The 19,878-nt window shown below is 34.5% G+C and overlaps 2 protein-coding genes across 13 annotated transcripts in view; one reads left to right on the top strand and one right to left on the bottom strand.

The window, feature by feature from the left end:
* Window positions 1-19,878, top strand: part of CGGBP1 (CGG triplet repeat binding protein 1) — a 97,921-nt gene that overhangs the window by 1,306 nt on the left and 76,737 nt on the right. Inside the window, exon 2 of the mRNA NM_001195308.2 lies at window positions 7,487-7,595. The gene's annotated coding sequence lies outside the window, so the exon portion shown is untranslated. The remainder of the gene's footprint in view (window positions 1-7,486; window positions 7,596-19,878) is intronic.
* ZNF654 (zinc finger protein 654) overlaps window positions 3,905-19,878 on the bottom strand; it is an 85,406-nt gene continuing 69,432 nt past the window's right edge. For 5 of the 12 annotated variants that reach the window (NM_001350134.2, NM_001350136.2, NM_001366093.1 and 2 more), the window contains 5 exons: window positions 19,554-19,756; window positions 18,739-18,878; window positions 13,363-13,504; window positions 7,517-9,860; window positions 3,905-6,920 (listed from right to left, as the gene is read on the bottom strand). In NM_001350134.2, coding sequence (NP_001337063.1) covers window positions 6,913-6,920; window positions 7,517-9,860; window positions 13,363-13,504; window positions 18,739-18,878; window positions 19,554-19,756 — 2,837 coding nt within the window. In that variant the 3' untranslated portion in view covers window positions 3,905-6,912. Of the gene's footprint in view, window positions 9,861-13,362; window positions 13,505-18,738; window positions 18,879-19,553; window positions 19,757-19,878 lie in introns of all 12 variants that reach the window. The other 7 variants (NM_001366097.1, NM_001350137.2, NM_001350135.2 and 4 more) reach the window with 3 other exon arrangements.

Raw genomic sequence — 19,878 nt, 5'->3', positions numbered from 1 at the left:
ATTGGGGTACCATTTACTCAACACAGGAATTCTTCGTATTTTAAATTAAGTATTAATGAATGCCTGCTATGTTAGCTATTGAAGGTTCAGCGACATGACCCTGACCTTTCTTCAAGGAGCTTTTGGGAGTGTTGTTAGTAAAGAGATGACAAGATAAGTGCTAAAATATGTTGGTATGGGACCACGTGGAGGGCATGTCCAACTTATTTCATTCGTTCATTAAAAATGTATTATAATTGAGCACCTACTTGCCAGTTATTGTTCTTTGTACTGGGGACAAAAAACAATGCTTGCATTTTGTTGGGAGGAAATAGACAGTAAACATGTAAGAAACTATATAGTCGGCCAGGAGATGCTATGGAAAAAAATAAATCCAGAAGACAAGGATGGGAGAGGATGTTAGTACTTTATACAGGTTGAAAGGAAAGCTTCTTTAAGTGACTGAAGATCAGAAGAAAGTGAGTGAGCCGCAGGAGAAGCATGGTAGGAAGAAGCAACAGTAGAGATTTTGAGGAAGGAGTCCAGGAGACTGGAGCCCGTTTGAGCAAGGAGGAGGCAATGAGCAATGTGTTAGAGTTGCAGTCAAGACTGATCTAACGCAGGGTTTCTTAATCATAGAACTGTTGACATTTTGGGCAGGATAATCTTTTGTCGAGGGGATTGTCCTGTGCATTGTGGGATGCTTAACGCATCCCCATCCTCTACCCACTGGGTGCCAGTAGCACCTCCTTCCCTCACTGTGCCAACCAAAATTACCTCCAGACATTGTTACATGTCCCCTGCAGGGCAAAATCACCCACAATTAAGAGCCATGGATGTAAAACCTGTCAAGATGCTTTTCGAGATGGTGAAAATGTTTTTTGCTGTCCAATACAGTAACTATCAGACACATGTGGTTCTTGAGCTTCTTGTACTGTTTAGTGCAACTAAGGAACTGAATTTTATGTTTTATTTGAATTTAAATTTTAATAGCCACACATGGCTAGTGACTACTGTCTTGGATAGTGTAGATATACAACCTTGTAGACCATTATATGGACTTTAGCTTTCATTTTTTATCTCTGACTTCCTTATTATTCTGTCAATCTCTCCAGACTAGTCAGTGGTTCCCTTATCATCTGCTCCTTCAACTTGCCATAGGTTCTTGCCTCAAAGCCTTTGCTCTTGCCCCTGGCATATTCTTCCCTTGGATATCTGAATGGCTGTTTCCCATACTTTAGTCAGGTTCCTGCTCAAAAGTCACCTTATCAGAGAGGCCTTACCTCATCATCTTGCTTAAAATCACCACCAACACCATGCTTATTTATGCATTTGCTACCCACTTTATTTTTCTGCATAGCACTCATACTCAAAAAACATACTGTATGTTTGTTGTCCCCCAGTAGAATATGAGCTCTGTGATGCCAGGATTTTTGTCTTTCATTGCCTGTTACAGAGGCCCGCACATGGTAGGTATCCAATGAATATTTGTTGAATAAATGAGCTTTGAAGGCACTGGCAGGTTTTAAACAGGAATGGCATTATCTGACTTGTCTCAGAACAGGATTACTTTCGTTGCTGGTGTGAAGATTGAAGGGGAGGGTAAGGGTAGAAGCAGGGAACCCAGTTAGGAGACTATTAAAATAGTCCAGGTTAGAGAAAATGGTGGCTTGAAGGGCATGATAGAGTCAGGGATGATTACAAGGTTTTGGTTTGGGCAACTAGTTGCCATTTATTGAGAGGAGGAATGCTGGGGGAGTAATCAAGAGATCTGGCTTTCTGACAAAGTGGTTATGCTTAGGAAGGATTAAATCAAAGAATGAGATGGGACAGGCAAAAAGGTGAACAACCAGTAAAACGGGAATAGTAGTGACAAATGCATGAACTAAAATTACATGATGAGGGTAGGTGCGGGGTTTAAATATGACTGGAGCCAAAGACAGGGTATGGGAGCCATACCTAATATGAAGAGAAATTTAGCAAAATTCTGTATCAATGGGATGTATAACTCTCCACAACGATAAAACTAGCATGCTAGAATTTGAGTATAACTGATCCCCACACCTTTTTGCACTGTTTCCATCAAATTCTGTTCTGGTAGTTTCATTTACTGAATACAACTTGAGCAAAAAACAACAAAAAACCCTCCCAATTAGAGCGGTTTGGGATATTAGATCTTACTACTAAAGTATCCATTCACCCAACCATTTAAGGAGCTATTAATAGGGGACTTGTTTAAATGTCTTGGCAACTAATTTTTGAGAGGGTTCTATAAATTTAAGGGGGAACTGTTTATCTTCCAGGGAAATACAAAGAACTTTATTGCTTTAGTTCTGTGATTTTCAAACCTTAGCTTGTATCAGAATCACCTGGAGGATTTGTTAAGCCAGATGGCCTCCAACCTGACCACAATTTAGCATTTCTAACAAATTTCCAGGTGATGCTGATTCTGCTGCTCTATAAACCACGCTTTAAGAATCACTGCTAGAAGATACCACTACATCAACCAGATATCTCTACCAGCCTTCATCCTTTGACTTTGAAATCACTGATCCTCAGGCAAATCTGACCCCATGTGGATTATTAGATCCACTCATGGTCTACATTTGTAGGGAAAAGTGTGTGGCACAATGGAAACATGGTTTTAGGACACATCTGATTTTTCAGTCACCCTCTGCATTTATTAGCTGTATGATTTTAATCAGGTTAACCTTTCTGAGCTTTGGTGTCTAAAGAGCAGTGTTCATATTTACCCTTGAGTTGTGACAATTAGAGGCAGCACACATAAACAAGCCATTTCTTCCCCCCAATGTGCAGTACCCATCAATAAGGCATGAAACTTTCTATCATTTACAATTTTTATTCCAAGTATTAGTGGATTGACTCTATTTCAAATCTTGATGTAGTTAAAACATCTGTCCCTGTTTTATCAATTGATTCTTGGTATCAGTACAGATATTATGCTATGAAAATCAGCTTAATTTGGTTATCTTGGAAGCCTATTTAGTAGTAGTTGCTTCCCAGAATTCTTCAAATTTCAGAAAAGGAAAATGAAAAGTTATCTAAACCCCAATAACTTTGTCCAAATACCTCACTACATTCATTATTTTGAATATGGAATATATTGAGTCTAAGATCATATGACCATAAATCAGACTGATCATTTTAGATCTCAGCTCTAGAATGTTTCAATAACACTCTCATAGTGTTTCAAGGCATAATGCTTGTAACATGCACAAATCATTTTATCCCATTTATCTATTTGCAGTGTGGTCTCATCACATCAAAAGTTTTTTTCCTACTTAAAGCCCCATTTTTTCCAATTGCAAGTTATAGCTAATAGTTTGGACGGTTTTCCTTTGTTAGTGAACGAAAAAAGTAGGAGCCTTCATGCTCAAAGACATCATTTTGGGTTACAGCTTACTGACTTCATTTCCCCAGTGAAATTCTTTCCTAGGAAGTAATTTTCATCATCATTTATATTGTAATATTTCAAAATGATTTCAGTCTTTGTTTTTTTAAGTTCCACCAGAAGCTCTTCATTTTTGAAGAATTACCAGTGTAGACAAATTTATCTACTGTCTTGACTTCGGAGAGTTCCGACACCTACTAAGTTTGCAGAACGTACTATATCACACTGAACCCACTTACCTGAAGTGACTTTAGTAAAAACAGAATTCTGTCAACTTTTATTCCTCCATATAGGCATTCGTTAAAATGTCCAAAAATGCCTATTTTGTGTAAAATTTTAGATACTTCTATTTTCTATATTATGTTTAAAAAAATCACTCAATCCAAATATGGTAATATACTAACTGAAATATGCCATTCCTTTATGAGACATAATAGACATTTTCATTTAATATATACCTTATATGTCTAATTCCTTTTGAAAGCAATATACTACATAAAATTGAACACTTGATTACCAACAAGGACGTTTTATTGAACAAATCTATGTACAGTACAAAAAATTTCTTGAAATGAGACACTATTGTTGATTTATTGCAGTTCAATGGCTCAGTTTTAATTTGTACTCTTATAAAATGCAAAGTAAAATAATTTAACATTCAACAAGGAAGCACAAATTTCCTTTCTTGCTGAATCTGTAATATCTTTCACATATTAACAACTCCAAAATGCATATGCAGCATTTACTCATTCTGAAAAGGTGTTTTACAGTACCAAATAAATTAAAAAATAAACACTATCATCCCTTTTAGGTTTTTCATCCATACAACAGTATTAAACCAAACATGAAAGGAGTACGGCTGAACCTTCAGTGTGATTTGAAAAGAATCACAAGTTCAATGATATAAATTATTTAAGTATTATATAATTGGTGGTTTCAAAAAAATGAATATGGCTAAAGCCCAAAGTACCAGTGTCCTTGTCCACGGAGATTCCCCTTTTTACCTCCTCCATAATATCTGAGCAGCAAAAATTCAGATTTGCTATTTTCTTCACCTTACTGACACACAGCAGAAATTTAACATTTAATTTTTTGAAGGAAATTTTTATTTAAAAACAAAGATTTGAAACTTGGTCCATGTAGGATGAATACATCCTCAAAACAGAAAAAAAGAAGAATCTGAGGAATAAGAAGCAAGCTTCCTTTTCTTCTGAAGCGCTCAAATTAGAACTGTTGGAAGTTTATGCACCCTATAAAAGCAAAATGATGTAGGTTTATGTTTTAAAAGACAGATGTAATAAAATGAACACATTCTTTCAATAGCTATTTGAGAAGTATATAAACCGAGGTTAAGACAGTGTGGTCAAATAGAATTTTATAAAACATTCCTTGATTTAGTTATATATAAACCAGTTTGATCTCAGTCTTGCAGAAATAATTTTAGCAACACAAAAGTAGAAATAAACCTCAAGTTAAAGACAGATTACAAATGGAATATATTTGAAACATCTTGGCATGAACAGTAAAAGTAATGAAAATGGAATACTTTGTGGGCATGGATTTATATCAATTGTTACAACTTGTGGAAAATGTGATAAAATATTAAACTTCTGGAAAATGTACAAAGCAGAAATATTTCAAAAGACTTCACTGTCCAAATGAACCAGTTTCCAAACAGACTTTTTATTACAAGACATACTTTTAGAATGAACTAAAATAAAAATCATTACATTTTTAGTATCAAGAAATACAGGAAACATTTTTTTTAGCTGACCTTAAAGAAAAGATTTTAATTATGAGCTGTGTTTAGTTACCTAAATGTAAATTCCACAGCCTAATATAGGCTACATAACAGAAACAAATTTAAATTTGGAATGGACTTATGACCATCATTGCATAGTAGTGAATGCTGATGATAAACCAATAAAACCGGGAAATTAAAAAAAAATCATCTGATCTATCATGATCTGGAAATCCTAATTTAATAAAATATGGATGCTACCTGGAAGAAATTCCCCACTTCCGTAATAGCCTCATTCAAGAAGCTCTAATAGGGTCTGATGAGATTATCTGCCTTGAACAAAGATTTTATTATTTAGAATAACTGGAATATTTGACATTGGGACATTAGGAGATCTGTTTTGAAACACTGCCTTTTTGTTATTTTAATCCCTGTTTTAGATTTACACACTATTAGTAAAAGGAAGTCTTTAAGCATCTTCCTTTCAATAATGGACAAATGGAAAACATCTGAGAGGGTATTTTTAAAAATATTTATTGTTTTAACACTTTATTAAGTTAAAATCTTCTTAGGAAAATAACATCACTAAGGAAAACAATGCTTGAATGTATCTCTTACTGTGTTCTTGTGCAAATGTTTTGTGTAAATACTTCCTTTTACATATAAAAATTACTGTTCAGACCAGAGTCATCACTAATGAATTAAAAAAACAGGAATAGTATGGCTTATTTTGGAATTACCTCTCCTAATAGAATAAAATGAATGATTTCTCAACCTGATTCTTAGCTGATTTTTTGAGCCAGTTATTTTAATAGGACTGTACTTAGATAACTCACATTAATGTCTAAAGGACCTTACTATGAATCATCAAGCAATGTCCCAACATATACACAAACAGAAGTATCCCAGTGTGCTTTTACCATTATTCACATTGAATAATTTGCAATTCAGTGTTTTCCTTCAACTACAAAGCCTGTAAAGTCTTAGATTCCTTTCATCTCTCCCCAGAGTACTGATCGGTTTTTTTCTATTTTATTGACACTGCTGCCCTTTAAATGTTAACTAATTTGTACCACAAAAGTGGTTAGTGGGAGGTTCTATCAAGAGCTTATTAGCAAAGCACTGTGGTTTTTTTTGTTTTGTTTTTTAATTTTCAATGCTGGCGTGCCATTCATTGAACTTTGACCTAATTAATCATCTGGAAACCTGTTACAATCTTTAATTGATAGCACTGTGGTAAGTTAATGTATAAGTTTCTAAATCAATCACAAACCAAACAGCAGCGGTTCCTTAAACCATGTTTAACCAGAAGGGAGGGGACATAATCTGATTATGCATGACAAGAAAACAAACCCCATTTGTAGAATAAAATACTTTAAATGGTTTAATATTGTAAACCAGCCCCCCTCCCCACACACACTTTTTAATAATGGGTTAATTTTTCCCTTTCTGTAAGGCCATAGCTGGTTTTCTGACTAGTTGCCTAAACATGTTTCTCATATAAGCGAAACTGAACATGCTGCTGCTATTAATCATCATAAACTGTAAAATGTGGTTTTCTGGAAAACTGGTACTTTGGGAGTTTTATAATCCTTTTGGAGTCTAAGCCAGCACATCTCTGTGAGTTCATTCTAGAAAATGTGCTTTGTCTTTATCTTTAGTAATCCAAGACCACTCTAAAATTAAGGCCATCAGGGAAATAGCAAACTGATGATGCATTTTCTTATAGTGCTTTTTTCACACTACTGCTTGATTGACAGATCTTTCTGAACCGTTTTCATCAGGCACCTGTAAAACAGAACACATCTGTTAATGCAAGTTTTATTGACATTCGACCGGAATTCCAAGTCAGATTCCTGTTTAATTTATACCCTGTCATTTTAAAGGATATTGATATTAGTAGACAGACAAGCTCTTTTTCTGATTTTGTTTCTCAATTATTTTCTGTTCTTTTTCTCCTTCTATTTTTGTAACAGAGACACAGATTCACTTGATTTATATTCTGGAATGCATATGAAAAATAATTCCCATCAAAATTACAACTTTTATTATATGAAACTTGGAATGAAGAATAACCTTTGATACAGTGAAGAAGTATAATCAAAGAATATGAAAAACCTGTGTTCAGGTTCTGCCTTGCACAAGTTCATAGGCAAAGCCCTATGCAAATTACTTGTGAATTTCAGTTGCTTGATCTATAAAACAGGAATATTAGTATCACCTCATAGTGGTTGTATGTATTAAAGGAAATAATGTATGGAGTAATGCTTCACTACCTGTGCTACACAAATATCAATTTTTTAAATCTCAAAGATCTATAATAGTTTTATTTATGCCATTTTCTCTTTCTACAGATACCTCTACTAAGAAGACAGAAGACTTACTTTCATCATCTGAATCAAATCCAAAGAGTGTCTGACATTTCTTTTGTGCAAGATGAGCCTCAAGTGCTTCTGCATTACAGTAGGTGGTCAGGCATTTGCCACATCTTAATCTTTTCACTGATTTTTTATACACGTTATCTTGATCAGAACAGGCATCTACTCTATCAGTCAGAAATTTTCTGCGTTTTGGCATACTAAGATACCGTTCATCAAGGTAACTGGGAGGCAATGGTCTGACGTATGGTTTTGTTAAAATTAAGCCATATGAAGTATGTTCACTTGTCAGATTTGGTTTGGAAGGTGCCTGAGATACTGGCAAGGTGTTGTGTTCTTGTGGTACAACACTGGGCAAAATGGAACCATTTTCTGTCCTGATTCTGTTTGTATCAATTTTCAAAGCAGGATCTGATGAAACTAAAGGTGTTTGCTCTATTTCACTGTGTCCATTGACTATATCACTACTACTACAATTATTTTCAGAATTTGGCTCTATGTCAGGCATCTTTTGGTCTATCAAGCTTATATTTGAAACAGTGTCATCAGAACGTTCGTTTCCATTCTGAACTAAACTGTCTGTTTTCTTTTCCATACTTTCTATACATGTCTTTGGTTCTGTAGACTCTTTCCTTGATTTGCTAGTAGAAACTGGCAGACTAATAGTTTGTTTCTCATTACTAGATGAGTCTTTTTCCTGATTAGGATTTGAGTCTGTCTGAACATCCCAAAGAATTGTTTCACTTGGTTGTGCAGATGACTCTGGTGTTTTACTTAAATAGTGTTGAGCTTCATGTTCATACAGCAGAGGAAGATCTTCAAAAAGCTCATGGCATTCTGGAAAACTACACTGAGCCTGAAATATCCTGTGACTTTTTGTGTGCTGGGCAAGCTGGAACGGCAGCTTAAACGACTCGTTGCAATTAAAATGCAAACAAAAATACACATTTGGATAGCTATGTCTATTAAGGTGGTCTATAAAATGTTGAGAATCTTCAAATTGCCTTTGACAAAATTTGCATTTTCCTTTGCTCCACTTCATTACTGTTTGTCGCACATTTAAATCGGTTGGATGTACGGTCATTGCATGTTTATTTAGAAACCCAATTCTTTTAAATATCCGGACACAACCAAGAGCAGGACACTTAAAGTTTCCTTCTTGATCTGTGGCATATATGTCTTTTGGATGGCACACAGTTCCATTGATTTTATGAATTACTGAAGTTTCTTGATTCAGGTCATAATCATCTTCTTCATAATCACCTTCTTCATCCTCTTCCTCCTCATAATCATCCCCACATTCAGTTAAAGGCTTGAAAACATTATTTAAAGAATTATTAGGACTGCCATTTTCAATAACATTTTCAATAACATCTTCTGGTACACTTATGGGAATTTCAATGAATTCAGCCACATGCTCAGGGATGACTTCTTTGTTTCCTTCACTAGAAGCAGTAAGTGTCTCCACTTCCAAATCCTTACTATCAGAATTCCCATTTTCAAATGAAATGGAAGAACTAGAACAATTTATTTCTTCCAAAGCAGTGACTTCCTGATCATCCTGTTGAGCTGCAGCAATTTGCTGCCTCTGTATCTTCTTAACATGATTCTTCAAATGCTTCTGCATAAGTCCTCTGTTTCTAAATTTCCTACCACATATTACACATGCAAAACTGCCTTTTTTCTGATGAGCCTGGGCATGCCTTACAATGTGACCACCTAAAAATTCCTTGTTACATAACATACAACGATGCCTTGGGACATTGTGATCTACTTTGGAAGTACTGAGAGCTGTAAGATTTTTCTTCGTATTAATATGACCTTTAGGCTGCACTCCAGATACATCATCAGGATCAGTCTCTCCAGTGCTCTGATCTGTAAGAGAGTCAAACCCTTCATCCAAACCTTGCTGTTCCTCCGTCCTTTTTAGATTACCTGCATTATTTTCCAGTGTGCTTTCATTTAGAAATCTAACTGCTGATTTATCACTCAATAATGCTACACAGTTTTTCTTAATCATTACGAAGTTCCAAAATTCAGGGTCAAAAAACAATCCCTTTTTCAAAATTGGAAGCAATTCAAAACGAACACGATTTTGAACACTACTTGTGCCTTCATTATATTCTTCATCTGGACGTTTGTAAAGCTCTTCAACAGTACGATACGCTTCTAAGGAGCGCTCCAGAAAAAATATTGAGAGTGCACAAATCCTGAGGATCTCCAAATCATTTGGCAAAAAATGTGCAATTGTTTTATAAATTAGACATTTAGTTTTGGGATCATCATGAAGGTCGAGTTGTAGAGCACAACCACATATTTCAACACAAATTTGCAAGCCTTCTTCTTCAACCTGTAAAAAGAAAAATATTAGTGCTAAATACTTTTTTTCCAAAAAAATGGTTATACTAGTCTATCTTTAAAAAACACAACTCTTAAAATGAAAGCTGAATAAACATAGTATTCCAATGTCCAATTTTCCATATTTAGTAGCCTTGTTTAACTCTTTTAAATATATACCTTTCTCTTTTTCTTAAACTTGAAAATAATCTGGAATAGATAGCATTTTAGCTTCTAATTTATTTAATTTTCACATTTGACAAGCCCACTATCCATAATACAAAATGGACTTATGGTGATTCATAAACTTATGGTGATTAAGATTTCTTCTAGACCCCCATTTATTATTGTAGGTACAAATCTCATATTCTTTGAGAGAAGGGTCAAAATTATGTGTATTTTAACAGATTTATCAATTTTCCACATCAAGAAATAAACTAGGCTTAAAAAAACTGCTTATGGGAACTTTTATTATAGTGCTATATGAAAAAATATTACTTATTTTGCTTATTAAGTAATGTTATTTATCCAAATAAGGGGGGAAATGTGGCACACATAAAGAAGGCAGTTATAATCTTTCCAAATCTAATAAGGTATATAAGCCTCAGAATAATGAGCCCCCTGGAAGTTATCTGAACAGTACTCAAGCTTTGAAACATTCACTGATGACTCAAGGATAATTGCATCAGCTTTTACTTGGGAATCTATTGTCGACCCATCTTAGTTATAATAGTGTCTCTAGTGGTTTGGAATAATCTAAAGGCTTATTTTGATTGGAGGAGACACCATAATAATGTCTTTAACATCATATATATGTATATATATCATACTGCCTACATATGGTATAGTATAGATTACAGGGAGGAATACTACCTTGCCAGCCTCACGTTTTCTTAGTCCTTTACATGCTGTGTAACCCTGAAGAACTACTTACAGTTCCCACAGGCAGACTTTAACTTGGCACATCCGATTTTCACTTTATCCAGCTAGTAAATTCCTACTGATCCTCCTATTCATTCTTTGAGAATCAGTTCTAATCTGAAGGTTTTTCTCCCCACTTATCCTGGTCTCTGCCCTGAGGTACAGTTAAAATTCCCCATTCTTTCCACCAAGAATAACTTATCTTTAAAAACATTTCAATTTTGTTTTATAAATATCTGTGTATGTGTATGTCCTCACCCCCCAACTGTGAATTCCTAAATTACAGGTGACAGTGTCTCATTTTTTATGTCTCCCTATGGTTAGCATAAAAGTTGGTACATAGTAACCTCTGAATAAATGTTTGCAGAATGAGTGAAAATCAGACCTATTCCATTTACTTAGTTTGCTCCTATAAATCCATCATTTACAACTTGGAATCCTTTCTGAATTCCAACTACTGATTTCTAAATGTCAATTATAATTAGACTTTACTACCTAGATTTTTCAGATACAGCAAATCAAAATCCATTCATTCAAAACAGAATTCGTTTTCTTTCTCCATACTTCTATCTACATCCTTTTTTTTTTTTTTTTTTTTTTTTGAGACAGAGTCTCGCACTGTCACCCAGGCTGGAGTAGAATGGCATGATCTCAGCTCACTGCAACCTCTGCCTCCCGGGTTCAAGCAATTCTCCTGCCTCAGCCTCCCCAGTAGCTGGGACTACAGGCGTGAGCCACCACACTTGGCTAATTTTTGTATTTTTAGTAGAGATGGGGTTTCACCATGTTGGCCAGACTGGTCTTGAACTTCTGGCCTCAAGTGATCTGCCCACCTCGGCATCCCAAAGTACTGGGATTACTGGTGTAAGCCATCGCGCCCAGCCTACATCCTCTATCTTGGCTCATAAAATTATCATGTATACAGATGCTCAAGTTTAAAAATGTTAAGATCATCCAAAAAGAGAACAGGCTGCTTCCTTACCTGAAATCTTTTGATGGTTCCAGGATATTTATGAATTTTCAATTTGTTCAATGAAATGAATGAACTGTTGCATTCAAATCCCTTTAAGTATCTCCGACAACCACTCCTCCTAACACACACAGTCTCTGCCATTAGTCTCATCCCCCACCCACTTCCCCATATTTCTCTGCTACCCTTTAATGTCACCAGATGGTTGTGAAAAACAAATAATAAAATGAGGAAAAAGTGCTCTGTAAACTACAAAATTCTCTACAAATGTTAGTACTACCCTCATGTCATTGAAAACTCAGCTGAAATTATTTCCTCTGTGAACCCTTTTTAGATATGCCATCTATGTCTCCTGAACTCACACAGTATTTATGACTCTTCACAGTACTGAGGCAATTGAATGATTTATTCCAACAAATAAAAGTCTTTTTAGTAGAGTATAAACTATTAAGCATCATATTTTTAATTCTTATTTCATCTTTGAATTTTCCTTTTATAATATATTTGCAGGTTTACCCCACATATGAAAATAAGAAAGCTCTGTGATGACTGGCAAAACCTCACACTGTAAACTTTCTATAATAATATATCTCAATTTTTGGTACCAATAAGATTCATATGTACAAAAATATGGATACATCTTTATTGTTTAAAATTAAGTTTTACAGGTGATTCTGATGCACATCAAATGTTAAGACGTGTTCTGTAACATAGTTTTCCTCTTTTGCTGGAAGGAGTTTACTTTGAGAATGCATTTGAATGATATTTCACTATTTAATAAGCATACCATAAATGCAGTTAGCGAAATTATCATGGGAATATGATCACTACATGATCATACATCTAATGAGTGATGTGATAATGAATGTAATAAATGCATAAATACATAAAAAAATTAAAATGTATTATTTAATAGATACCTCCTTATATATTTAAAAGTAACCAACATAGAGATTCAGTTTAATGGTGCTACCTAAAATGTAAAGTGGCTTTACTCTTTATACTCGAAGTCTTATTGATATTTTGGGGGAAAAACTAAAAGATCTGCAGGATCCACTTTCATGTCTACGTAAGACTCATGTAGGATTGTACTCACTTGCAAGTGGCCCAAGTAAAACTTGACTCAGGACTATTTTTAGAAAGAGGTAACACATTTTTACAATTACTTCAAATAAACAATTTAAAAACTTTGTCCTTAAGTTTCAAAAACACCTCAGAATTCATTGTTCCCTTACACGTAAACAGCAGACCTAAAACTGGAACTAAGTTTCTCTGTGACAGTGAAGTGGTATTATTGATAGATACACCAAGTTTATTTGCAAATTAGTTAAGATTCTATAAATGGGATTTAGGATAATATTGAAAGTAACAAATATTTAATTATAAGAAAAAAGGTTGTAATGGAAGCAATTGCTTCCATGTTAAATTTTAAGTAACAATAAATCAGCCTCCCATGTTGAGAGTTTGGAGTTAGGGCAGAGGAGAATGTAATGTATGGAGAATGTGGCCTTAAAATCCTCCTTTCCTTCAGTTTTAAAATCAAATAAATTTTATCAAAAGAGATTCAAGTTTCAGTGAACTGTCACTCAATTTTAAATTTAAGGGACAAATATATCCTATTTACCTCATCTTTGATGATTTTCATGAAAGGAAATATGACTCTCACATTAGTTGCTGTTCTTAAAAGCTGGTAGCATTGATCTACAAAAACTTGTTTTGAAGGATTAGATTTAAGCTGTAGTTTACTCCATATGAAAATCAACTCCCTGTAAATGAGAAAAAAAGAGAATTATCAAAAATACAGTTTATTCAAATACAGACATTAGCTATCTTTCCCTGATTCTATAGTGCCCTGGCTGGGATGTATATGAGTGTAAATATGTATTACGTTCACCCCCAAACTACTTCTTCTACCTATATGAGACTAAAACAAGTTGGGAGAGGAAGAAATATCAGAAATCACAAATATACAGTAGTAAGGAATGAATTCCAACAATATGTTGGCATACCTAAGATGTCTCCAGTATCAGATCAAAACAGAAATTCTAATCCTAATGTGCCAATACTGATATTACTTAAAAATAATAAACTTTGGCCTTTAATTAATATTTTACTTGTAAATTTAGAAAACAATGTTGTAGACTCTCTATAAAGAAATGGTTCATATTTTTCATTTTCAATTTATTAAGATATCAAAAGTACTAACGATTAAAACTGTAAGTATAGTATTGATTCTGAAATAGTATGTTTCAGATATCGTACTTTTAAAACAGACAGGTTATGGACCATTTGAACTATTTCATAGGTAGATTCTTTTCTCAAATATGACCACTGTTATTTGATGCACAAGGCTAGGAGCGGTGGGTTTTTAGGCAAAGGCAAATCATATGATAGAGCTGATATATTTGGATGTCACATTTTAGCAAATTAGAATTCTTTAAAACATGTCATAAAAGTGTACAAAGCATCATAATCTAAAAGTATTAAAATAATTAATGAAAATATTTTTTAAAAGTGATGAGCATATACTTTGAACTCAGCACATACAGGTATTAAATCTAAGGACAGCTTGATTACCATCATGAGGGTGCACATAGTGTACTCAGACAAAAACAGAAAATGACAGCAAGCAACATATGAGTAGTAAAACCAAAATTCCAATTCCATTTCATACTAGCTATTTATTAAGTTTCAGTCCACTACCCCCCACCTTTTTTTTTTTTAACTCACACTCTTTTAGAACTCTCACAAGGTTTCATACCTTCCTACCACATCTCTAGCTTTTACTGCTTTCCAGTTTTCATGCCTGGGTGTTTCAATTTATATTGCTTTCCATCACCTGAACCCACTCAGAACTAATCATATTCCTGCAAAACTGATAATCTTTTCCTAGATCAGGCAGTGACACTAAACATTCCTCTATTCTGGTCTGGTTCTAATCTGTTTATCTTGCAGTGTCTTTACATTTCAAGTATACTTTTGCTCTCAGCTTTATCATTCTTTCTCAATGTTACCCTTTTAGGCCCTTTAATTTTACACATGTATTTCTACAGTGGTTTCTAACCTGATCTGTTTTCAGCCTCCGTGATCATATTTCATTTAGTGCTTATGCTATAAAGTTAACAGCAATAGAAATGTGGGTTGTAGAGTTAGGAGTTTCAGGATTTGAATCTCAGGAACTCCTAACTCTCAGCTAAACTGCTTCATTTATTCTCACTTTTGTTTATGCTGACTGCTATATTTGGAAAGTACTTCATTCCTAAGATGAACTTATCTTTCAAAGGCCCTATCAAGTATCTCTTCAGGAAAGCCTTCATGAATACCCCAAACTAAAGTGATACCTACACTTCAGAAAAGATCCCTCTTACTGATTTCATGCCTATCATATGCTTCCTTGTTATATTTTATCGATCCTACCTATTTCCCCAACCATTAATATACTGTAAGTATACACAATGACACATTGTTTAGTGGATGCAGTGGCAAGAACATGGAATTGGAAATAAGAGAGACCTAAATCTCAATACAGCATTATACAGTGATTGGAGTGGCACACCCAATTCAATGAGCCATGCTTTTCTAGGAAAAGCCCTAAAACACAAAGGTAGAAAACCAGTGGCCATGTCTCCTATGTGACCCTCCTCTGCATTCCCCTTCAGATATTAATTCAGGGGCGGGAAAGTGATCCCAGTCAGGCTAGTCAGAATCTCTGGAATGTTCTCAACTCTAAACTATTAAGCTTGGGGTTTGTTGATGTTCCTGCTGGTCTACAGCAAGAGAGGCTGAAGCCAAATGACAGAAAAGAAACAGATTTTGAAAAACATTAGCAGTATCAGTGTCCCTGGTAGCAGTTATCTTTGAGAACTACCTGTGGCCTTCCATGTAGCTTTCATGTAGCTCATACTGCACCCTAAATGTTTTCCTATTTAGGCACAGATGCTATCACTTGCAAACTAACTAGTACAAATTCCAACTCCATTTCTTACTAGCTGTATGACTGTTATCTATTTTATATACAGTTTTCTTACACATAAAGGTTGGGATTATTCCTATTCAGCATCTTTATTAAAAGAATTAAGAGAGATAATTGAAACACCTAGGTGAAGTGTCTGGCATATACTTCCCCTAAATGTTGAAAGCCTGTAATAGGTACACTGCAATATCCTAATAAGTTTGCCAAGAGAAGACTACCACTATGGATTTTTGCTTTAAAGCAGGCAAAGCAGAAATCTTAGGATAGTGTTATGAAGCTCCATTTTGATTGGATTTAAAACATGGGATCTGAGGTTTTAGTTGTACAGTGGATTCTGAAGGAAAACAAAAACCAACAACAAAAAAATCCTGAAAACCATTGACAGTCTTCTTTTAGAAGACCAAAAGGGCAGGTTTAATGAAGCTTATACACGTTTTCCTTTATTCAATGTGTGCATTAGAAAACACAGCACTCATTCAGTGTACAAACGCATTTCCCAGGTAACTAGCTAATAAAAGACCCTATTAACTACTAATATTACCATTAAGTCATCTACTTTCTGGAAAAAGCCTATATAATGACGTCAGTCACCCTTACAATACAGAATTTTTTTTTTCAAACTTGACCCATTTATTTTAAGTAATTTTAATATAGCAGAGGCTGGAAGACTGCCTAAGTTTGAATCCTGGCTTCACTACTTACTAGCTGAATGGCTTGAACACAATATTGAATGGCTTGAACACAGTATTATTTCCATAAGCTTGTTGGGTTAAATGACATGTGCATATATAAAGCAAAGAATATAGGAAGCACTCAGCAAACATTTGCAGCTATTATTATTATTAATGATTGTGAAGGAGAAAGGGGCTTAGCAACTTGCCCCATTGGTTTGGGATACAGCAAAACTGTGGATCTGGTTCTATTCACACAGAGGGGAGATAAATGACAAGCTGACTCATAGGCTAGGCCAGGATGAAACAGACAGCACAGACTTTGGAGGCTGAAAAAAAATCCTGCTCATCAAATTACAGTAAAAATTAACTTTTAATAGGAAGAAAAGGGACCTTAACATTCAGAAATATAGAAAAGAGGTAGAAGAAATAAGAGGGTAGGCCATCATAACCCACGCTATTTAGAAGGAAGGGACAAAAAGAAGGCTAAAGACTCCTTTTTGGTTAGGCAGCTGGAGACACTGAGCCTCTATTCTTAGAAGGTTTCTGTGGCCAGGAGCCAGAAGACAGGCATTATAATATTTAGGTCCTTCCCTAAAGAGTAGAAATGGGTTACCAAGAGAATAAGAAAATAAAATGTGTTTTTCTGGGTTTGTGTGTGTGTTTGTGTATACTTGTTTCTAGTTTATTTATGAGTATATTACAATGAAAGAACTAAAGATACCCTGTTTAAATAGTGTGATATAGCTCAGGGCAGAGAACATTTCTATTCCCATAGGAAAAGATCTATTATAACTGTCATGACTATTTTCAGTTTCCAAATAACCACATGTCAAAAAATGATAATACTTCAAAAACTACAGTTATACGCAGTGTAACAACATTTCAGTGAACAGAAGACTGCGTATACAACAGTGGTCACACAAGATTATAATATCATTTTTACTGTACTTTTTCTATATTTAGATATGTCTGCATAGACAAATACTTACCATTGTGTTATAATTGCCTACAGCATTCAGTACAGTAACACTGCCATACAGGTTTGTAGCCTAGGAGCAACAGGCTACATCATATAGCCCAGATGTGCAGTAGGATATACCATCTAGGTTTGTATCTCTACAATATTCACACAAGGAAACTGCCTATTGACATATTACTTAGAATATATCCCCATCATTAAGTGCTGCATAACTGTATATAAAGGTGTGTGTATGTCTTACCACTACCTCCTAATCCCTTTCTCTATTTGAAATTCCAATTTACATGGTATAATTTTAAATAAAAATTAGCATAATCTAACTAAAGGTATACTGTAACCCCTAGAAAACAAATTTACCTGTTTCCAGATCCAGGTCTCCTCCTAACTAGCTATTTGACTCTTATCTCTGAGTTTGAAGATTTTAATCTATAAAACAAGAATAGGGCCAGGCACAGTGGCTCATGCCTATAATCCCAGCACTTTGGGAGGCTGAGGAGGGCAGATTTACTTGAGCCCAAGGAGTTCCAAACCGGCCTGGGCAAAACAATGAATCCCCATCTCTACCAAAAAAAAAAAAAAAAAATTAGCTGGGCATGGTTGCACACATCTGTAGTCCCAGCTACTGAGGAGGCTGAGGCGGGAAAATCACTTGAGCCCAGAAGTTGAGGCTGCAGTGAGCCATGATCGCACCACTGTATTCTAGCCTGAGAGACACAGTGAAACCCTGTCTCCAAAAAACAAAAACAAAAACAAAAAATAACCAAGAATATTGAAGTATTATGATTTGCAGCTATATGCCTTCAAGCTATTAATTTAATTGAGAATTTAAAAAAATGTTTATAGCCCATGATCATTTCAGATTATGTTTAGCAAATAAAACCTAGTTTTCTGTTAAGAATTAATGAAACAGCAAAGTGGTAAGAGTTTTGTGTGTGTATGTGTGTATATGGGTGTACTGGAGCTGAGGAAACAGAAATTCTTAATAGCCCCTGAAGAGTGTTTTTATTTTAGCTACCTAAAAACACTCATATTACATTTTAAATTACATGATTGCTAGGTAAACCTGCTGCTTCATATATTCTACTAGCAACTTTTAAATGTTTTAAAAACTCAGACTCCAAATTAAAATTTAATTTCAAACCACTGTTTCATTATAGCACATCCCTTAAACATTTACACTATCAGTTTAGTGGCACATTATCATTTCTTTTTAAAGTCTCTAGTTCTTAGAATCTACTATTGTTCCTTGCACAATCAATTTTTTTTTAAAAGTAGCTTGACATTTTCATACAATGTAAAAAACAAAGTTCAAACTGCAATTTCCTTTCTGTTGCCCATCTTACCATTTCAATTTCTTTATTTACAAACACTTACCAGATACAGTACATATCCCCATTCTGGAGCTGTGGAATAAGAAAGGATTCACAGAGTTGCAAGGCTAACATAGTTTTGCCTTCTTTTTCAGCATTACAGATGATATCAATTCCACTCTTACAATCAGTTTTCAATAAATGCTGTAAGAGGAAAAGAGAAATCAGTTCATATAATTAAAAATATCTAAGAAGCTAGTTGCAATAAATGTTTAAACATTCAAGAGAAATTGCTTAGATTTCTAGTTTTCTTCTACAAAGACAATGATGACTTGTACAGAAATATTTTCATGGTTTCATAGTTTCACTGTACAGCACCTACATTTTACAATGACTACTTTTAATCTCATTAATGTCCACAACCTATAGGTACATACGATCCATATTAGGAAAAGATTAATTCCTTCACCTTAAGAAACAAAATAAACATGAGCATTTTACCTCTAGTACTTTATTTTCAAGGCAAGATCATAATGCTTCTTGGGTTTTTTTTTTTTTTTTTTTTTTTTACTCCTGGCAAGCTGTGAGCTTGTTGACTTTTATTTGACCTCTTCTCCATCACATCAAAAGTGCAATGTGAATAATACTTATTAATGAGTATATTTTATTGATTTCATCATTTGTTAATATCAGATTTTGACTAATTCAACATGACCTTAAGTTATGGTGCCAAAAGAAAACACATCCAGATAATGTAATCCTTAAATCTTTGGCATTACTGTAAAAGGAATTTAACAACAACAGTGGGCTACTTTTTTTTTTTGGTTTTTTTTTGGTAGGGTTAAAATGGTAATAGGCAAAAATAGTCTCAAACAATACCTCCCGGAATAGCTGATCTTCTACAGGTGACATAAACAGACATGTGAAGAGTGCTTGATGGAAGTATAAGTCTTTACTGATTTCTGGGTGATTTATACAAGATTTAATAAGAGCCATTGCTTCGGGTATGCGTTCACAAGCAATTAGGTATCTGGCACGTAGTTCAAAGAACAGTGGATTTTCAGAACTTAAATATTTGTTCACTATATTAAAAAGAAAACAGACTCTATTACTCTCAAGAAAAGATTCTCTCAAACTTTGTTCTTTGAAACTTTACCACTAAAATATGGTTTCTAATTAGATTTAACTACTTAAATAGCATTTT

Source organism: Homo sapiens, chromosome 3, assembly GCF_000001405.40.
Source record: "Homo sapiens chromosome 3, GRCh38.p14 Primary Assembly".
In the NCBI taxonomy this organism is placed as follows: domain Eukaryota; kingdom Metazoa; phylum Chordata; class Mammalia; order Primates; family Hominidae; genus Homo; species Homo sapiens.
This window is presented reverse-complemented; position numbering and strand designations above follow the sequence as displayed.